The sequence below is a fragment of the Homo sapiens genome, chromosome 13 (genome assembly GCF_000001405.40).
Source record: "Homo sapiens chromosome 13, GRCh38.p14 Primary Assembly".
Taxonomy (NCBI): domain Eukaryota; kingdom Metazoa; phylum Chordata; class Mammalia; order Primates; family Hominidae; genus Homo; species Homo sapiens.
In genome coordinates, this window is record NC_000013.11 from 35438468 (window position 1) to 35461289 (window position 22822).

The following is a 22822-nucleotide window of genomic DNA, read 5'->3' on the forward strand; positions in this document are numbered from 1 at the left end:
AAGACTTTATAGTTCTTACAACATGTGAGAGAGATGACTTGATTTTGTAAAACCTAATAACCTATTGGTTGTATTATGTAGAGACTCTAGTAAACATCTTCATTATTGTTCATTGATAACTCCATTTTAGTTGGTGTATTATTAATTGGATCTCCTTATTTGAAATGAAATAGGTAATCTGGTTATGGTTTAAATAATTTATTGAAAGTTAATGATGTAAATTTTTAGAAAGAGAGAGAGAAAGACATGCAGGAAGTGTCTGTCAGCTCTTTTTGGTGTCAGTGTCATATTTTAGTATCATAGCCTTGTCTTCACCCTATGGTTTTTACAGTCTCTTAAAATAATTTCAATGGGTTATATAAAGGCTAAGTTACAAAATATTCTTATAAAATACATTTGACAGATATTATGTAGCATTTTCATATTAATAAATGTTCTAAGAGGCCACTTAGTTTTCTGTTGAAGGTTCAGATTGTAGATTTTAAACAGACTCAGAGGACTTGTGTAACTTTATTAATTTAAAAGCAGTTATTGAATAACTTCTACATACTATGCACGTGCTACCTGCTGGATTTGGAGACTGAGACAATCAGTTTCTTCCATCTAACAGCACATAGTTTACTGTAGTGATTCCCAACAGGGGCAGGGGTAGGAGTGCACTGCTGGCATCTAATTGGTAGAAACCAGGAATGCTGCCTAAAATATCCTACCACATACAGGAGAGCTCCCCACAACAATGACAACAGCAAAATTCCAGCACGAAATATCAATAGTACCGAAGTTTGAATAACCCTAGTCCAGTGGAAAGGAATAAAGAAAATAAACAGTTATCATAGAGGGATGTAGTAGTTCCTAAAGGGGCACAGGGAGAGACAGTGACTTACTGAGTCTGGTTGGAGTAGGCTTCGTACAAGTAAAGGCTTATGAATTGTCTCAAGACTTGATTATGAATTTGCCAGGTTATCGGGGAGTAAAGGCAGAGGTCATAACAGAAATTACCATGGCATGGAGACATAAACGACCCTTACTCCTTTGAATGGCCTTAATATTTGGCATTTGATGACAAGTCACTTCATAAAGGTTTCAGAAGGTATTTTTATTTTAGATGTCTCATATTCCTAGATAAAACAAAAACCATTTGAGGATAAGATATATCTAATGTAAATGGCAAGTTAATGGGTGCAGCACACCAACATGGCACATGTATACATATGTAACAAACCTGCACGTTGTGCACATGTATCCTAGAACTTAAAGTATAATAAAAAATAAATAAATAATTGAATTTGCATTTTAGAAAAAAAAAGAATCAGATCTTCTATCAGTTCTATTTGGAACATTCACATTAATACAATTCTTTGTGCTTATTACTCAGTTGCTATTTTTTTATTTAATTTATACTTGATTGATTTTTTTTGTTTTTGTTTTTGAGACGGAGTTTCACTCTTGTTGCCCAGGCTGGAGTGCAATGGTGCGATCTTGGCTCACTGCAACCGCCACCTCCCAGGTTCAAGCGATTCTCCCACCTCAGCCTCCTGAGTAGCTGAGATTACAGGCATGCGCCACCACGCGCAGCTAATTTTTGTATTTTTAGTAGAGACAGGGTTTCACCATGTTGGCCAGGCTGGTCTCGAACTCTTGACCTTAGGTGATCCACCCGTCTTGGCCTCCCAAAGTGCTGGGGTTACAGGCATGAGCTACCATGCCCAGCCCGATAACTGATTAATTTTAAGGTATACAAACAGATTTTAACCACACCATTCATCACTTTGGGTAACAACATTGAAGGATGGATTTTCTATAAACTAGGTCTAGAAGGATGGTATTTCCAAATCATTTCTGACTGTCATGGAACTAATTTAGATCATTGTTCAGAATCTTGCTTCTTTTAGACTAATTTTTGGTAAAGTGTACACACAATCACATTTACAAGTGATTATAATATACAATTGTAATATTTTCATCAAAGTATATTAAAAATGTTATGGGAGCTCAGTAAAGAGGGTCGCCTAACTGAAGAAATATATTTTAGCTGGAGTCGAAAGGATGAATGGAAGTCTTCCCAAGCCAATGAGTGGGAGAGTGGCATTGTGGAAAAAGGGAGCACATAATACAACATAATGTATTCAAGGAATGGAAAATGGTACTAAATGATGGAACACAGGATAGTGTGGGGAAATGGTATGAAGATGAGGCTGAAACACAGTTGTGGCCCTGCTGTGAAGGGGATTGTCGTTAAACAATTTTTATTTGGAAAATGACAAACCATAGAAATTAGGGGACATGCTAAATAATAAGTGATAGATAGAGCTAAAACTCAACCCAAATACCAGTCTCTTACTCTACAGTGTGTTGTAGTAAATACATTTGGAATTTCCTTAACTATGAGGGCATTACCGAACATTTCCCTGCTGTAAAGTTTACCTGCTAATATTTGGTTGGCGCTTACAGCCTATCGTCTGTAAAGATACATCAGAACAGATGAACTTAGTATCATTCCCAGGATATGTATTCTATGCCATTTAGAAAAACATTTTTAAATGTTTTGGTGTTTTAAAAAGTGCTTTTAGATAATCTGTATCAGCACCATCACTTATGTATTTCATTTTTTAATAATTAAAGAGACTTTTAAAATTTTCTCTTCCTTCCATGTCTCTGGGCCAATTGTTTGCCTGTCTCAAAAATCTCCTACCCCCATTTTCCATCATCTCACACTTTTAAAGTGAATTGTCCACATTGGACTTTGTGATATACTTAAAAGAAGACACCAAGCCTCTCATGGAAAACCAGCCCATATTTATTGTCTCCATTTATTTTCCTTAAATTGTCTGTACAAACATGATTTTCTCCCTCACATTTTTAAAATTCTTACTATAAATTCTCCATTGAAAATTCTAATCTATAGTAATCTGATTTCTGGTTGTTAATGCTGTGTAGAGCAAAACCACCATTCATTTTTGGCATAATGTAATTAAAATACAATATAAATGCTAACTTGCATGACCTATCAAAGCCTATATGTTTGGGATATGCCATATCCCAAATGAAGGCCATGTTGTCATTAATGCCACCTTAATTCTTTGACTTCTTGCTGGTTCCTTCCCCTACCTTCATGACCCAGGCCACCTTCACAAAAATTGCTGCTCCATCAGTGATCAATTAGGGAATTGTCAGGTTTATAAATTTACTAAATGTGCCATGGGGATACCAAAATCACTAAATGATTGGATTGAGATCAAAAACTGAGAATATTGTCTTAGTGCATATGCTATCTGCAAGATGGAAAAATAAACTTGTCTCCTATTTGAAAATACATGGAATGGAAAAAGGTTAAAACTCTAGTAAACAAGGAATGCTAGATGTGAAAAAAAAAAAAAAAAGAAGACACTGAGGTAATGTCACTTACTGTGCAAGAAAGTCTCCCCACCCTGTCAGCCCACTCTCAAGTTGTCCAGTTAATCTTTTTTTTCATTCTAATAGTTGCCAAACTTTCTAATTCACATTCTGCTGCTCACTAGCCATCTACCCGTATTGGTACATGATGCAGGTTCCTTTCCTTTGTGCCTCCCTCCCTGCCTCCCTCCTTTCCTTGCTTTCTTTCAGAAAAACATATGCTCATTATAGGAAATACCAACAAAAGTGCCAAAAAAATTTGAAGAAGTCATCCACATAAAGATAACTGTCTTTATCATTTTCATGTATTTATTTCATGTTAGTCTTTTTCTGTGTGTATTTTATCATAGGGACCAAACGCTATGCAATGTACTCATATAGTCACAAAGATGAATAGTGCATCATCTCTGCTCTTTATGATATTTAGAGAGTTCCAAAAAGACGCAAGTTTTCTATATGTTTTATTACGTTTTTTTACAAGTAAAATGTGCCCTGCGATTTTTAGTATAATGAAATCTCATTTTAAATAATTAAAAATCTTAACTTCATGGCTAATCAAAATCCTGTCGAGTAATATCCCGTCTAAAATGTGGAGAGAGTCTGCGTTTACCGTCACGTATATTCTTAAAATATGGTTTATCAAATTTTCTTTAGAAAGCATAGAAGGCAGTTTTCTACGTTGACTCCATTAAGAAGATTATTAAGTTAACATTTCATACTTATATAGTGCTTCACTTAAATTCAATAATATTTTCTTGCACTTTTTTAATTGCATTTCTCTGTTTAAAAATACTGTTTATGAATTTCCCGTTTGTTGGTCTGCTCTAAAAAATATTGCTTACCTATGAATATTTTGAATTAGGAATAAATGAAATTCCGTTTTTGCTGTCAGAACCAAATTGTAAAAATGAATTGCATGACTTTGAAAATCAGTATACTCTATTAGCAGGCCTGTCAATATAAAAAGTGCATTCCATTTCCACCTCTTGCTCTAATAACCTTTTCTCTGTTACTCTGAGGCAGTTCACATAATCAGAGTATATTGTCAGCTTACTGGAGTTGGGGAAGCATGAAATGAAAATCACGTTAGTATTGATCCAATTCTTTTGCTTGCAAGTATCCTTGATGTCCTTTTCCAGTGAGCAATAACTGTTGGTGTTAGGTAGCCATTTTCTTCTCTTCTTTCTTAAATTCCAATCAATTGTTTACAAGCATAACTAATCTGAATAAAAATTTAACACTTGGAATAATTTCCATGTGTTAATTCCCAGATTGCTAATGCTGCACATTTACTATACCACTGAACTGTTTTCCCCCAGCTTTTCAAAACACAGCCTACCTAAAGACGTAATATTTATATGTAGTTTAAAACAAAAGTCTGTACAAGTTCCTTTTTGGTAAAATTACGTAAGATGCTGTACTCTGACTTTTATGTAATATAGTCATGTGCTAAAATGGACCATAAGTGCCATGAATTACTGATCCACGTAAGGAATAGCATTTTTGAACCAAGTTTATTATAAATTTGAAGCTGGTGTCTTGGGTTTTTAATTTTATAGTGGTATAGATAATATCTATTTTGGATTATTCAATATATTCTCTGTCAACAAAATTAAATTGAAGTGGGAATCATGGTTAGATCCAACTCATTCAAACTAAAATATCCACAACTAAGAAAGGAGGAATTGGATGGTTGAACTATCCAGACTTTATATCTGTATTTATTAAATTTGCTTAGTAAATACTCAGATTTTTACCTAAAATGTATTTGGAACAACAAATAGAAAGTCTATTTCATGTGTAGAAATACTTGCTTTCATAAAATAATTTTATATTGATAAAGTGAGGCTTCTGACTCAGTATCAGGTATAAAAGATTGAGAAAATGCTTGAGATTTCTGGTCATTCTTTCTAATTTAGTGTTTTTATTCAGTATCACTAACAGTTTTGCCATTGGGATTTTTCTATTGAAAGACCTGTTTTCTTCTCCTTTTTAAAAAAATGCTATTTTATAAAGAAGATGATTTAATTTTTTGTCATTAATCTTCGTTAGAAAAGTGATCTTTCCTATTATCGTAATTTGTTTCTTAAGGAAGGACGCACTTAATAAAGTCAAACACAAAATTAAAATTGGAATTTAGATGATTTACAAAGAAAAATATTTACTTATTAGGAAATGATTGTTACAGTAGACTGTTCTAGTGTGTATCTATTACTTTTATCTCACAGATACACTAAGGTAAGCATAAAATGTTTTCGAACAATAGGTTCCTCAGTATAAGAAAAAGCATTCTTTCAGGTTTTTTTGAAATGTTCAAAATTGTAAACTTCCCAGTAATAGATTGATTCATACATATTATTGCACAAGATTGTGTCATCATATCTATTGTAATTTTCTGAGAGGTATATTTATCTTAAATCTTTTTCCTTTTAGTGGAAATTAAACAGCACCATTTAGAGTTACTAAAAGCACTGGTCTGAAAAGGTATTTGTTGCTCAGACTTAAGTTTTAATGAGAAAAAGTAATCTTTAAAATTTCTCAAAGTATTCATGTAATTAATGCACTTTAAAAAGTATTTAGGTTTGGAAATGAATTGCAACATTTTATTCTACTAAAAGAGTGGTAGACTTCGTCAAAATACATTGAACAAGCTAAAAAAATATTGAGAAATGGCGTATAATGAAAAGAATTTCTTCTTTGAAAAAGAATGCCATCCTGTTCAACAGATTCCTGAATGTTTAGAAACAGAATTACCTGATAATACATTTAGGTAAAAATAAAATTAGACCAGATTTCTATTCTGCCAGTGTCCTCCCAAAGATCTTTTTCCAAAGATGAAAAGAAGCCTATATTAAATGCATTATCTCTTCTTGAGAAAGCAGTTCTTTTCCTTCAAATATCCAAGATACTAAACATATTTATATAATTAAATATCTGTATGCAAAATCAGAAGTACATGTCAAATACATTGGTGCTTTATGTAATTTTATTTAATATCTTTAAATGAATAAAATAGTTATGGAAAACCTACATTACATTTAAAATGTAAGCTATTTATACTACATTCAATTTCCAAAGTACTTCCTAACACCTGTACTTCATGCTATCATTCCTGTCTTCAGGGAGCATCCAATCTAGTGGAGGAGCTGAAGGCTCATTCACATTTTAATGAATACGAACACTGTTATAACAGCATGGTGGAAGGAAGAATAGTAACTCCAACTGAAGGAAAGGAAACTATCACTTGTTGAATACCTGATGTTGGATAGGCATTGTGCCAAGACCATAGACTCATGCTTTATCTTGAGTTTTTTAATCCTCAGATAAGCCAGCTTTTTTTCCCCCTCTTTACGTAAATCTTATGCAACACTATTATAAGCAATAAAGCATTAACTATGTTCTTTTTCAGTTTTAATTATGTATTCAGTATACTTTTTATCCTCTTGTTTTATTTATTTTATCAAAATTTTAATAAACATTTTTGAAAGCTTACTATGTAAATAATCTCCACACATTTCCATTGTCTCATTTTAACTTTGCAATAATCCTGTGAAAGAAAATGTGGAAAATACTTAATATTACTCTTCTACAAATTTGGAAACTGAAATTAAGAGATTGGTCTGAATTTTTTTAATGTTTCTAATGGATATTAGTGGGGAACAATAACTTATGAATGGCAAATCAAATAGTCCAACTCTCCCACTTATGAGGAAACTGTAAAGTACATGAAAAGTAACTTAACTAATGTGCATGTAAAATGACTAATATGTGAAGTGTGTTTATGTGTTTTCATTTACTCAACAAACATTTGTTACCATTTTGACATGTGAAATTAAAGTCCAGTAGAGAATCCCTAAAATAAAAACACTCCAAAATTGAACAATGATAAGATATGATGACTTAATTCTAAGATATAAATGTTTATATATATATATATATATATATATATATATATATGTATATATATATATTATATTTGAAGTTCTAGGGTACATGTGCACAGCGTGCAGGTTTGTTACATATGTATACATGTGCCATGTTGGTGTGCTGCACCCATTAACTGGTCATTTACATTAGGTATATCTCCTAATGCTATCCCTCCCCCCTCTCCCCACCCCACAACAGGCCCCAGTGTGTGATGTTCCCCTTCCTGTGTCCAAGTGTTCTCATTGTTCAATTCCCACCTATGAGTGAGAACATGTGGTGTTTGGTTTTTTGTCCTTACGATAGTTTGCTGAGAATGATGGTTTCCGGCTTCATCCATGTCCCTACAAAGGACATGAACTCATCCTTTTTTATGGCTGCATAGTATTCCATGGTGTATATGTGCCACATTTTCTTAATCCAGTCTATCATTGATGGACATTTGGGTTGGTTCCAAGTCTTTGCTATTGTGTATAGTGCCACAATAAACATACGTGTGCATGTGTCTTTATAGCAGCATGATTTATAATCCTTTGGGTATATACCCAGTAATGGGATGGCTGGGTCAAATGGTATTTCTAGTTCTAGATCCCTGAGGAATTGCCTCACTGTCTTCCACAATGGTTGAACTAGTTTACAGTCCCACCAACAGTGTAAAAGTGTTCCTATTTCTCCACATCCTCTCCAGCACCTGTTGTTTCTAAGATATAAATGTTATACAGAGATGGAAATAATCAACCTGACTGAATCCTGAAGGAATAGGCATGTAAGAGATTTTATGTAAAAGAAATTACATAGGTCGGACTTAAAGATTTGAGACAATGTGGCATGTATGCAGACAAAAACATTCAGCTTTTAGAGAATATGAGGTGCAAAGAGGCCAAATCAGTAAAATAGTGAGGTTAAATAAGCAGAAGCTAGATCATGAGCTTTAAACCATATGTTTAAATGGTACAAATAAAATAACATTGAAAATGTATTATTCCATTGTTGATATACATTAGATAGATACACATATATACCTATATATCTATATAAATATACCTATATATATAACTTTTCAATAAATGAAAACCCCATTGTTCCACAGTCAATATAAATAATAATAGCATAAGCTGGTGAAAAGCTGAGTCTACATTAAAACTGGCTTATTATGTGGTTATATCTCTTTTCTTTGTGTGTTAGCCACACATATGATTTATAGCTAACCTATTGTTGTGAATTACTTTTTTCTTTATTAGTATAGATGTTTTAGAGTTGATTATAGGAGGATTTCTTAAACAGAAATAAAATACTGTATTTTTCTTACATTAATTGTTTATATTTATCAATAGAAAAGAACATAAAGGGCACATGAACTAATTTCTTTGCCTTGATCCTGTGGCCATTCCAGGTAGACATATTCTTTGATGTCGTTAGGAGGAGTTCATGTCTCCAGTTTGTCATTTCTGTGTTTTAACTTATGCTTATTTAAAATAACAACAAAACTTTAAAATGGAAATTTAAACTATATCAATAAGAGTAACAATAATACTGGAATATAGTAACAATACTAGAAACATTTTAGTTCTGCTGTTACTTCACCTTTAAAATATACCTTTTTTCACATGGATTCTTGGTTATTAATAGAAATTTTATGAAAAAGGAACTTTAGATTTCTGCAATGCAATATTCTGTATTACATAACATTTTCATATACAGAGCTTTATATATATATATATTTACTAAGAAGTCAGTCTATGGAGTGCTTTCATGGGTTATTTCTCACATGATGTAGAAAATAACATAAGTGCGGTTTTGGATTTAGCTTCCTTGAGCTATAATTCAGTGGCATTTTTTCTCCTGAAACTTTTAAATTTTGTGGTATTTTAATGTTTTCATAGGCAATAGCATATATGTCTATCCTACCCAGCTTTACACATAATATACATTTTCAGATCCAAGGCGTTCTGGTAGTTTGTGGTATTCGCTTGTTAATTTCTTGATGAATGGCTAAAGAGGCCAAAAAGTGCACTCAGTCCAACATGTCTTCTGAAGATAGATGATCTCAAATAAATTCTCTTCCCAATCAGATTTTGATTTGTTGGGTGTTAAACCAATTCTTTCTAAGGACAGTGTTTACAAGCCTTGTAATGAGACAGCCCTTTGAGACCTTCCCTCTTTTTGCCTGTAATTTTGATGAATGAAACTCTAATTCATAAAGGATATTGTGATTGAAAAGCACCTTTAGATCTCATACACTTTAATTTAGATAAATGTTTGGTGCAGTACCATGAAATCAGGAAGTTTGCTGAGCTGCAAACTGATAACACTTCAACAAGGATGATAAGCTTAGTGTGTTGATATGGATTAGTTTACTATATATCTTTTAAAGTCATGATTGTTTTACTGCTTTAAAACCAGAGGGGATAAAATTGAAAGCTTGATATACATTTCAGAGCTCACCTTTCTTCTACTACATTTTCTTCTTTGGTAAATTTTTATTTTGGTAATACAAAAGTAACATAAAGCTTTTTTACTGACAAAGATTACCCATGATTTTTATATAAGGAAAAACTTGCTTTATTAGATTACTCACACTTAAAGGCTTTTTTGACTTTATTGTAAAAAACCAAGTTACTTTTCATGTAAATACATATATTCTCCGGCTTGCCCCAAACTAAAGGCAAATCACTGAGATTCTGAGATACCCTGGGAACTTCAGACTTTGAAATATGCAGGGGTAACTGTAATGTCTGAGTTTATACATTTATTCAGGATTTATGAGGGCTTGCTCTGTGCTAGGCAGTGTGCTAAGTACTGAGAATACCAAGACAAAAACATGTTTCCAGTCATGAAGGAACTTGGAGGCTTTTGTGGAGTTAAATAAGCAAGCAGTTACAATATCTATAAATTATGCAGTAGCAGGGTTTACGAGGTATGGTGGAAGCATAAGGGAAAGAGTACACAAGTGCTCTTAAGAAATCAGAGAAGGGAATGGGGTGGTGGGGTGAACTTGAACTTCAGTTCAGCACATGTTTGTGGCAGAACTGCTGGGCACCAGGCACTGAAGCTACAGAAATGGGACTGAGGACAGACACATAGTAGGTAACACCTATACAGTGCAGTTGAATTATGTGTAAGCTGTTAACGTGCAGTAGGGTTTGTTAGGAAAGGCAACTGAAGGAAGTGAGTTTTTAAGGGCAAGTAGCAATTAGCCAGGCCAAGGAGGAAAGGTAGGAACATACCCTGCAGAGGGAATAACATTAGCATGGGTAAAGAGGTATGTGAAAGCATGACATATTTTGGAAGCTATAAGTGGTCCAATATTGCTGAGGAAGGTGTGGTGAAAACACAGAACTGGTAATGAGAGGATAAAAGGCCTTGGTAAGCCATGCTAAGAAGTTTGGATTTTATCCTCCAGTCTAAGTCTTGCATTAGGTGTTCTTGACTGGGAGGAGTTAATGAATAATTTTAATAGGAAAATGTCCTCAATTTATTTGTGTTTTATAAAAATCACTCTGACAAAAGTATGGAAGGCGGTGTGAGTCAGGCAGCTGTTGACACCCTCTAGACCAAAAACAGTGATGGCCTGAACTAGGGCAGTGGCAGTCACCATGCAGGATGAATTCCTAGGTTTCTGCTAAAGTACATGGTTGGCCAAAATAGGAGGAGGAGAAGGAGCAAGAGACAATTAGCTCAGTAAGAGAAATGTTCAGTTAATAGTATTCAGGCAAAGTCCAGAAATATAGCTGAGAAGACCTCAGGAGAGATTTCTGAATTATTAATCATTGGGTTTCCCTCTTTTGTTCTCAAATGATGCAAGCTCTATATTTCTGTTTGCCAAGAAGCAAACAAGTTATAAAGATAGCTACCCTCAGAAGATTACTCTTGGGCTGGCTTTATATCACCAAAAATCAAATAGAATTAAGATAAGGTTCTGAAGCATTCAGTGATCTATCCCTAATCTTTTATTCCAGAAATAATAATTATCTATGGGCCAGTGGAAGAAAAATACACATGGAACCCATTTAATTCCCCTCCCCTCCAATGTAGCATTGATTTGTCATAATACTATTTGTCTCTGAAGTATTTATCAAAATATATGTCTAACAATCTATTTATACATTTAAGGTACGCATTAACCATGTGCTCTAAATGTGGTTATGTAGTAGGAGCTAGGATGACAGACTATACCTCTTAGCCAGTGATACTCTGTAATGGTATTGTGATGTGACTATGTTCCTCAACATGTGTTTTTACTCTGGCAGCCTTTTGAGTCCATTTTTTCATATTTTAGCAAACAGAATTAGCCTATATTCACTGAGAAAAAGAAGTATACAAACTGCAAAGAGAAAAAGGAAAAAAGCCAACTATTTTACAATGCAAGTTGTATGACAGCCAGATGTACTTGCAAGAAAATGGTTGAGGCTGGGCACAGTGGCTCATGCGTATAATCCCAGCACTTTGGAAGGCCAAGGTGGGAGGATCGCTTGAGCTCAGGAGTTCAAGCCCAGCCTGAGAATATAGTAAGAGCCCATCCCTACAAAAAAAAAAAAATAACAATAAAAAAAATAGCCAGGCATTGTGGTATACATCTGTGGTCCCACCTACTCAGGAAGCTGAGGCAGAATGATTGCTTGAGCCTGGGAGGTCGATGCTGCAGTGAGCTGTGATCATGCCACTGTACTCCAGCCTGGGTGACAGAATGAGACCCTGTCTCAAACAACAACAACAAAATGGTTGAGCAAACATCAATAGGCAGTAATGGACTGTTGGAAGTTCTATGGTCTGGGCCTGGGTGAATTGACCAAAAGTATTGTACACTTTCGACCAAAGGCATGACATCATTTGGAGAGCCATTGTTTATGGTCCGACACCATAATGTCCCCTAAAAATATAATACAACACCATATAGGACTGATTTATAAGGCTCCCATTTCCAGGAATATATCCACCACCCCAAATGAGATATGAAGACATTTTCCTAGTTAATGCTGCTCCTTGAAGGCTATATCCTAATACAGAACACAGTATATGACAATGCTTTCTTCTAAATTGAATTTCAGCTTCAAGTGATATAGAAGTATTTCATGTCTGTGGTGTTTGTGTGGGTGTAGGTGGTGTATGCATGTATAAAATTTGCTTTCAGTTCAGATAATTTTATATTAATTGACACCTGCCAAAGCAGATGTTTGAATGTAAATATGAAAACATTTATTAAGCAGTCAAATTCTTGAGGGATTCAGATGCATTCGTTTCTAACTTAACGCATTAATGCCAGGTCAAATCTTGCAATATTTCCAGTATTTCAGTTTTTCTGCTTATTTTCATGTGTTTTGGTTTTGGCTTTTTGTGTTTTTGTTTGTTTGTTTGTTGAGAGGGAGTCTCACTCTGTCGCCCAGGCTGGAGTGCAGTGGCGCGATCTCGGCTCACTGCAAGCTCCGCCTCCCGGGTTCACGCCATTCTCCTGCCTGGGCCTCCCGGGTAGCTGGGACCACAGGCTTTTGGCTCCACGCCCGTCTAATTTTTTGCGTTTTTAGTAGAGACGGGGTTTCACCGTGTTAACCAGGATGGTCTCATCTCCTGACCTCGTGATCCGCCCACCTCGGCCTCCCAAAGTGCTGGGATTACAGGCGTGAGCCACTGCGCCCAACCAGCTTTTTGTGTTATTATATATAGCAAAATAAGGCTATCATTTCAGAAAAACCAGTATTTATTTCACTAATTGCTAAAGAAATAGCTATTGTGAAGAAGCTTTTATGTCTCCATCATTTCTAACTCCGCCTTTCTGTAACTTTCCAATGATCATTTTTCCCCTCACATGTGAATGGTTTCTCGTTTGCTGCATACTTATCCACTTTCAAAAATGATCTTCTAATTAGCTAATTAGCAATTGATTAGCTAATTAAGACAAAGTATAATTATGTAAAATAGTGTGATTTTAAGAAAATAAGTTTGGGGTGAAGTACAGACTTTTTGTGCAACATGCACTGATCTTAGAGCCCTAAGACATGGATCTTCGAGTCCTTAGACATGGTAGAGTTCGTTTCTCTACCACTAGCAACTGCTAGGTTCCTCCAAAATGCATGTAGCTTCCTCTGCCTGTTTCCTCATCTTTAAAATAAGGGTAGATCATTACAGCTCCGCACACCCCATGTTTCTCACAGAAAACCAAACAAGATAAAGAAGGTTAAAATGTTCTGTAATTGTAAAGTAATATGTAAATGCAGCATATAATTTAATAAAGCAATCAATTATTTATAATACCTACTATAAGCAGAAACAATCATAATAACCTAAATGATTATATTTTTGTTGTGATTAGGCACGGAAGAAGATGTAGTAAAGTCAAAGAAAACATTCAGAAGTCAAGCAATAGTGAACCAAAATGCAGAGACAGAACTTATGCTGGAAGGAGACGATGATGCAGTCAGTCTGCTACAGGAGAAAGAAATTGACAACCTTGCAGGTAAATTTTAAAATATATTTTTCCTATTTGTTGTAAATAAACACAAAGCTACTGAATTCAAAATCTGTCTCCTAGTAAATAAATGTGTGCCAATGGTTGTAACAATGCTCAATCACATGAATGTTAAAACTCTACTTTATCTCATTTCTAATATTGAAGAGAGAACCCCAAAGAAATGTGTATTTTATTGGCAATAAATGAATATCATCAAATTTCTAGGTAATGAAGAGCAATTTTTTATATAGAAGGAATAATACACAGTATCAGTTATTCACATCTTACGGCCTATATTATAATTGGGAGGTGGGACAGAATGACAGTTTCATTGATTTACGTGTATCTCCAACATGCTAAGAGCCAAGGTCCTTTTCCCAGGTGCCAATTGAATTTGCCATTTCCTCCCATTTGTCACTCTAAAGAATGTCTCTCTCCACTCCTGTTTTGTTCTGTAGCCTCATATTGCTAAGCCACTAGCAGATATTCTTTCCCCTACCACCTCAGTTTTACCTTGTCATGATATATGTCTGAGATCAATTCTGGATGTGATTCTACAGTGAGCAGATGGGGTATAGATATCTTAGTGTATTCACCCACAACCTTTTTTGGGTTTTAAGCCACTTTGAGAATCTGATGAAAGCAAATGGCTTCATGAAGAGGCACATACAATTCTGTACACAATGTCATAGTGGTCACTGACCTCCAGAAACCAGTCCATGGAATCATATCCTCAACCTCACCTTAAAAATGCCTGCTTCAGAGTCTCAAAAAGTAGCTGAGTCTTAGTTCTATACTTGCAGCCCACACAAGGTTGAGGTGGCAGGTGGCAATAGAGAGGTGGACTTATATTTATAATTCTTGATACAACATAACACTTGTTGCAAGGAACATACTGAAAATTATCTGGCATGGCTTTATGAAAGTCTCTAGTGATTTCTTTCTACTGGTTAGAGAGTTCTCTTTTCATCTTCAAAGAGATGTTACTGTTAATTATAAACTGGAGATAGCACATTATTCTCCCTTTTCTAGATTAAGAAAGAAAATATTTAATAAGTTTATTCTAATGCTAGTTCCTAGATATTTCTATATTATTCACATTTCTGTATTATAAAAACTATTTTTTCGATTTAAATGTACTCTTAAGTCTGTGACCAAATGTTTGCCTCAAATTCTTAAGTAAATGTTCAAGTTTTGCTTTCGTTGTTTTTGTGGTTTGTTTTAGTAGCTCAGAGATTTTATATGAGGCCATTTGGAAATTTAAGCTAATGAAGGTCATTGATTCTGTTTGCCCACAGATGTGTTTTCTTTTCTGCTGGTCTCATTCTTCATCTTAAAGAATACAGAAAATTCACAAATGTTATTTCTGACCCTTTTAGATTATGTGTTGTCTTTCCTATTCATATATGCTAGCAGAGATGTTTAATAATTGTACAGTTCAAATTAGACTCCCTGGTCCTTTGTTCCTACTGAAGATAATTAATTAGTTAGTATAGATTTGCATAGTCCCTTAAAGTTTATTATAAGACTGCCCAGTAATGCCAGTGGCACAATTCAACAAAGACTAATAACCTTTTTATATTTCTCTTCTTTAATGGTAGCTAATTATTAATATTAATTTATTTTTATAAGAAAACATCCCCCAAAAAAGTTAAGTTCAAACACCTAAAGAACAGTGAAAATATGCTTGAAATAAACTTTTTAAAATCAAATTATATGGCTCCTGACCAATTCACTGAATCAAGACTCCTCTAATTTCTGTCTTTTAATGGATTTGTCATTGAGCATACCTGTTCCTATCCATAATATACCTGGTCCTAACTCATACTCTTCTAGCGGGATCCTTGTGTGTTACAGCTGTCCTAAAGTATTGATCCTCTGCCTACTCTGTAGAGTTCATTTTAAAAACAGCAGTCTACAAATATACTCTGAACCTTGAATACAGTGGAAAAGAAGTAAGGGATGGGTGTTTTATGAAGGGCCACAGAAATATGCTGCATAGGTTATAAGAATAGATTTATTTTGTAAATGCTGAAGCCTATTAATCTAGACTAACATAATAGTTACAATGTTACATAAAATTCATTTTTAGAACTTTGTTACAAGCCAGAATTCTTAGGTTTAAGAAATCAGCTATTGGTTAAAGATGCAGATTACATCAATACGTAACTGTTTTTGCCCTAAGCAATTATTGTCCAAATCATGGTTATCTCTGTTGCAGAAATTAAAATTTGTTTAATAATAATGTCTGTCTTACTCATAACATGTCATTCTAAGTAGCCTGACAGAGCTGTACTGCCTAAAGAAAATGTCACCCTTACAGGAGACTTAAATTCAAATTAAAACCCAGGCCAGGAGTGGTTGCTCACACCTGTAATCCCATCACTTTGGGAGGCCGAGGTAGGCAGATCACAAGGTCAGGAGATGAAGACCATCCTGGCTAACATGGTGAAACCCCGTCTCTACTAAAAATACAAAAAATTAGCCAGGCATGGTGGCGGGCACCTGTAGTCCCAGCTACTCGGGAGGCTGAGGCAGGAGAATGGCATGAACCCGGGAGGCAGAGCTCGCAGTGAGCCAAGATCGCACCACTGCACTCCAGCCTGGGCGACAGAATGAGACTCCGTCTCAACAAAATAAATAAAAAATAAATAAAAATAAAAAATAAAAAAACAGGAAATCCTAAAATCGGTGTACAATATTAATATAATCTTATATTTATTTGCTATCTCAGAAATATTATATAAAGTAAAAAGTGCCTATTTCAATCTCTGAGATAAAAATCACAGGTTTATCTTTTCATGACAACTTAATGAAATGGCTTGCATATTATTAGTATGAGAAATGTACTTTCAAATATATAAAAGTAATTAGAGTTCTTAGATTTTAGAATATATATGAAAGAATACATCATTTTTATAATTGTAAAGGTAAACCTAAACCTGCTGATTAGCATACTACATTTTCCTGTTATTTACAAAACCCCGTTTTGCTGACATAGGCATAGAGATAAGCAGATATGCAGTATAATTTGCCAATATGTAATAAGTTAAATTCAAATAGAAGAAAGTATGCTAATTAGTACAGAAAACTTAGAGAAAGTACTAATTTAGTTAAGATTAATTCTGTTCTTATTTTAATTCAAAAGATAGATCAATTTCTGTTTATAAAAAAAAAAAAAAGAAGAAGAGAAAGAAGAATATCTGGCATGAAGTACTAGGAGCCAGACATCAAAACCAGCTTTTTTCGACATATAAATGATGCTGCTATTATAGATTTAACATTTTCTGTAAAAGGAAAATCTGTATTTTCTGCCTGTTGAGAACTGTTTAATAGCAGTTACTCTTCAGTACATTTACATTTTCATGTTTTTAAAACTATTTTCCTTATAGCTGAAAATATTGACAAATGGATATGGTGAGCTTCTCTAAATAAAAAAGAGTTCGGCTTAGGGTTAGGGTTAGTGTTCAGACAGCTTTGTGTGCAGTAACCCATTTAATCTAAACAACAACCCAATAAGGTAAAAATTATTACCACCAATTTTGGAAATAAAGATAAAGAGGTCAAGAGATTAAGTAACTTGCCTAAGGTTAAGAAGTAGGCAAAATAATATATTTCCTTGCAAATACATAGTATATGGTTTGAACTAAAATATACCAAATAGTACATTTAAATGTGTGTATGTGAGTGTGTTTGTAGGTATATATCATTAAAGACTCTTCTAAAATGATGTGAAAATGACATCTTCTGTTTATAACTCAATTTTTACACTGGTTCCATTACATTAGAAGTATATGAATATGTATAATAATTAATTTTAGTTTTGCTTATAGATAGTCTATGTGTGGTCCAAATCAATCTGGTAAGTTAAAAACTATGATAAATAGAATGCTTTTAGTACAATTTTACTTAATGTTGGCCTTTTCTTATGTTTCCTCCATTTTGTCTGGAGTTTTCTAGTTTTAATAAAGATAAAATGTTCCACAAAATTCTATAGCTTTAAATGTCATACAATTTTATGTTTCACTTTTAGTTCCCTTTCTTCCCAAGCTGTTCGTCTCAAGAGGCAAGTTAAATGTGTGTGACTACTAATTACCCAATTTATTATGTATTGTAGCAAATGGCTAATATGATTATAATATAGAAGTATGCCAATCAATAAAGTAATTATTATATTAATAAAACCTAACTTAATTTACTTTAATTGCATTTTTAGTTTGTAGTGATTCACCAAAGTGAATTAGTACCTAAATCCCATATGTGACTAAAGATTTCAATTTACTAATTTTATTTTTTACTGAAAACATTGAGATTGGTATAATTCAATGAATTTTAATATAAAATCTTGATTACCTATTTTAATTTGAAATTTAGCAAGTTGTTTCTTCAAATAACTATTGAGTAACTGAAATTCAAGATTAACTCAAATTTATATAAATTGGTAAGTGAAGGATTTAATTAAATTGAAAAAATGGCATCCCACCAATGAAACGTATTTCATTTCTTTTAGAATGGTAGTTCTGTCACATATGCTGAGTGATAATAGAAATATTTTACATAGTGTAATTGGAATGTATATAGGTTCCTTATTATTTCTTCCAAAAGTTAGTAATTTTACTAATTTAGGGAATTGTGAGTTAATGATAATGATGGTTCTTTATGCTTTGTTAACAGTTCTGTAAATTGTAATAATTTTTTTTGTTTGCATATATATTTGCTGTTAGCAATAACAACATACGTATATTGTTATTAGTTTATATATATATAGATATATAGATATAGATATATATGTTTTTATTACCAACAGTCCACCCATGTTAATGTCTACTAACTTAAAAATTTCACAGGCCCAAACTAATGTCCACACTTCTTCACCTGCAATATCCTTCCTATTTCTCTGTTCCACTCCCTCTCCCATCTCCTCCTGTTAAAAACCCTACCCATTTTTAAGACCCATTTAAAACACTTATGAAATATTCACTGGCCAGTCATATCATCTCCATAATATTTTGTGTTAGCATTTTTTTTTGGAAATAGCATTATTGAGATGTAATTCACATATCATATAATTGACCTGTTTACAGTGTACAATTTAGTGATTTTTTGGTATATTCATTCACAGAGTTATGCAACTGTTACCGAAATCAATTTTAAAATATTTCATTACTCCAGATAGAAACCTTGTTATCATTTGCCTTTCTTCACCAATTTTCCTGTTCCCTCTTTCGCAATCCTGGACAACCGCTAATCTACTTTCTGTCTCTATAGATTTGCTTATTCTGGACATTGCATACAAATGGAATCATAGATAGACTTTAGTGTCTGCCTTCTTTCACTTAGCATGGTGTCATCAAGCCCTTTCCATATTTTGACATGTAGTCCCTTTTTTTGTTTTTTGAGATAGAGTCCCTTTCCATCACCCAGGCTGGACTGCAGTGGCGAGATCTCGGTTCACTGCAAGCTCTGCCTCCCGGGTTCACGCCATTCTCCTGCCTCAGCCTCCCGAGTAGCTGGGACCACAGGCACCCGCCACCACGCCCAGCTAATTTTTTGTATCTCCAGCAGAGATGGGGTTTCACCGTGTTAGCCGTATGGTCTCAATCTCCTGACCTCGTGATCCGCCCACCTTGGCTTCCCAAAGTGCTGGGATCACAGGCGTGAGCCACCGCGCCCAGCCGCATGTAGTCCTTTTTATGGCAGTTATTCCATTGTATGGATACACCACATTTTATTTATCAGTTCATTAGTTGATGGACATTCAAGTTGTTTCCACCTTTTCACTACTATGAATAATTCTGCTGTGAACATTTTACAAAATTTCATGTGGACATATGTTTTCATTTATCTTAGGTATATTCTTAGGAGGGGAATTGGTGGGTCAAATAATAACTCCACGTTTAACTTTTAGACTATTTACCGAAGAGGCTGCACCATTTTGAATTCTCATCAGCGGCATGTGAGGGTTTCAATTTCTCCATATCCTCTCCAAGACATGTTATTATCTGTCTTCCTTTATTATAGCCGCCCCACCACATTTTGATTGTATCATTCTTAAGACACATACCACATAAAGCCTTGCATTGTAGCTGTTCTTCCATGTTTTCTCTGTCCTTTTAGACTAGATCGCTTAAAGACAGCATTCATATACTGTGTAGCTTTGAACCATGAAGAAATCTCCTAACGCAATTATTTGCCCTCAAAGGTTCCCACTTAAAAATGTTATGTAGGTAAACTGGAAAGCTGAGATAATTATTGAGTTAGTTTATATCAAAAGACAAAACAAAACTTACGAGCTGTTGAAATAAATATTTGGGGGCTCAAATTATCAGACTATCTGCTCATACTAACTGAATTATTCAAATAATTTCAATAGCTCATAATAAGTTTTGTTTTGTCTTTTGTTTTTTGGTATAACTTAATTATACCAAAAGCTGAATTTCAATTCAGCTCATCACTTGAATTTTCCAGGATAGGAACAGCTAAAGTTAAGCTAATCTTTATTGCATTTCCACTTCTGGTAAACGTGTCATTTTAACTAAATGTCTCTGTAAGTTCCAATTTATAAGGTCAAAATACCGCACCTACTGTTACTGTAAAAAAAATTTAGCAAATAGAAAAGCTGTTCTATATCCAATGGATTGTAATGCTACTTTGATATTTTTTAAGTAATTAGTACAGGGAGATAGCAACACAAGGAAGAAGTATTCAAATGTAAGTGTTGGATTTTTTTTAATTTGGGTTTTTCATAATGGTAAGTTTATATTTCTTTACCACCGCCCCCCCCCCCCCACACACACACACACACACACTTACCAAGTTAAGAATCCAAAATTCAGAAAAGTAATTATGTAAATTAAGAATGAGAAAAATACAGAAGGAGGAGATCTACTAAAAGGCTCTCTGAAGTGCCAGTCATCTCCTTCATGACCCACTTTGTTGCCCATGACACTTCCCAGTTGTACCTTCCCTGATTTTTAGAGGGCAATATATTTTCAAGCTGTTTTTCTTCTTGTAAACTGGTTAGGTTGTATACATATTCCATAGCTATTGTTCTACTAGTTCAAAACAAAATCAGGTATCCAGTGGTGAAAACAGGGCTGGTAGGTGGAAGAGGGGGCATTATGTAGAATTTTTCTTAAGGCTGACCATTTCTGCCTTCCTAAATGTCTTTTTGAATGCATTCACTTGCTCATTTACTTAACCATTAACATCTTTTGAATATCTACTAAATATATAGAACATTGGTACTCAGATTGTGATAGAAAAAAAAAAAAGTCCTCAAGAGAATTAGCTCTGCTACCACTACCTCTGGGTAACTCAAATAACCAGGAAGTTATGGCAGATAATGTATCTTCCCTAAGAAATGAAAGTAGACAGTTGAAATAATCAGCTTGGCAGTTAGACCTTCAGTGTCCTAACTTCAAATATCCAGATACCACAGGCAAAGTTGTTTATATATAAATTGAATGTTTTCTACAAACTGAGCTAGATATGAGAATAAAACAAAAATGTAGAGCATGTGGGAAGACGAAAGAATTCAAGATTCTGGGGAAACATAATTAAAATAAACTACAGAATTCTAAAAGCTAAGAGTTTGTCTAAGAATATGTTCTTTAAAAAAGAATAATAGTATAAGCCAGTGGCACAGAAAATTTTGTTGTAACTGTTGACTGGAATACTTACTATGGGAGAGAGCATGTTCAGTGCAGATAGACTCAAATCCATCTGCTTAAGCCTAACTCTGTGCATTGCAATTCTGATATGGTGAATGTAACATTCTGTCTCCAACAAAACTAGTATTTTTTAAAGATTCCTCCATATTTAGTTTTATTTCATTTTTAGTTACAGAGTCTAACTAGAAGTTATTCAACCTGATACTTGTATTTAGGGGGAAAATATCTCTTAAACATTCTGGATTCTCTAAAATGCGTTTTGCTCAGAATTTTCCCCGTATTTTTTAAACCCATGTGTATTTTAAGGGAAATTTAATCCATATGTCCCTGACTCACTCACACTTAACTCATCAAAATGTTGTTTAGTGAAAGCTATTTGATGTTCAAAAAGCCTTATGAGTCTTTATGAGTCTTTTTTCTCTCTTTGAATGAGGAAGTTGCTTTGCCAGTCATAAATAGTATACCCAAAGGATTCACATTCAGCTTCAAACACAGAATTCACAAAGCTCTTAGAGACAACATTAATACATGCCTATTTCTTATAAAAGCTAAAGTATTTAAATTTCTAACTTAATTTTTATATCAGTTAAGGTGTTATAAAAATAAATAAAAGCTTCATCTTGAATATTGAGCCTCTTTGCCTCTTTTCATTATTTTCAAAAAGTCTACAGGTCCTTTTAGAATGTGCAAACATTTTACTGTAATCCATATTTATTTCCATAAACATATGTCCCCTTCAACCATGATTCCATCATCTATGAAACACTATAAGGTACTCTTAATTGTAACAACATCCTTGATAACCAAACTGTGTAAATTAAAAATATAATAAAAAGACACAATTCAACCATGCTTATTAGACATTGTCTTAGTTCATTTTCTGTTGTTTATAACAGGATACCTGAAACTGGACAACTTATAAGAAAAGAAACTTATTTTATACAGTCATGGAGACTGAGAAGTCCAAGGTCAAAGGGCTGCATGTGGTGAGGGCCTTCTTGCTGGTAGGGACTCTCTGCAGAGTCCTGAGGCCGTACCCGGCATCACATGTGAGGGGCTGAGGGAACTCACATGCTATCTCAGGTCTCTCTTTTTCTTCTTATAAAGTCACCAGTTCTACTCCCATGATAACCCATTAATTCATTAATCCACAAATGGATTAATTCACTCACAAGGACAGGGCCCTAATGACCCAGTCACCTCTTAAAGGCACCACTTCTCAATACTGCCACATTGAGGGTTAAATTTCAACCTGAGTTTTGGAGGGGACAAACAAACATATTTACACAACAGTAGGCATCAACCATAAATCATATATAATTTGCATTTTTTGTTAATTTTAAGAATAAAAGCCACCCTTTGTTATGGTCAGGTGTTTCACAAACCG

At 34.2% G+C, this 22822-nt stretch overlaps 1 protein-coding gene across 13 annotated transcripts in view; it reads left to right on the forward strand.

Annotated features, from left to right (window-relative positions):
• The window catches only part of NBEA (neurobeachin), a 730467-nt gene that overhangs the window by 496198 nt on the left and 211447 nt on the right, over positions 1–22822 (forward strand). For all 13 annotated transcript variants that reach the window (XM_047430271.1, NM_001385012.1, XM_006719803.4 and 10 more), the window contains one exon: positions 13625–13768. In XM_047430271.1, the coding sequence (XP_047286227.1) occupies positions 13625–13768 (144 nt within the window). The remainder of the gene's footprint in view (positions 1–13624; positions 13769–22822) is intronic.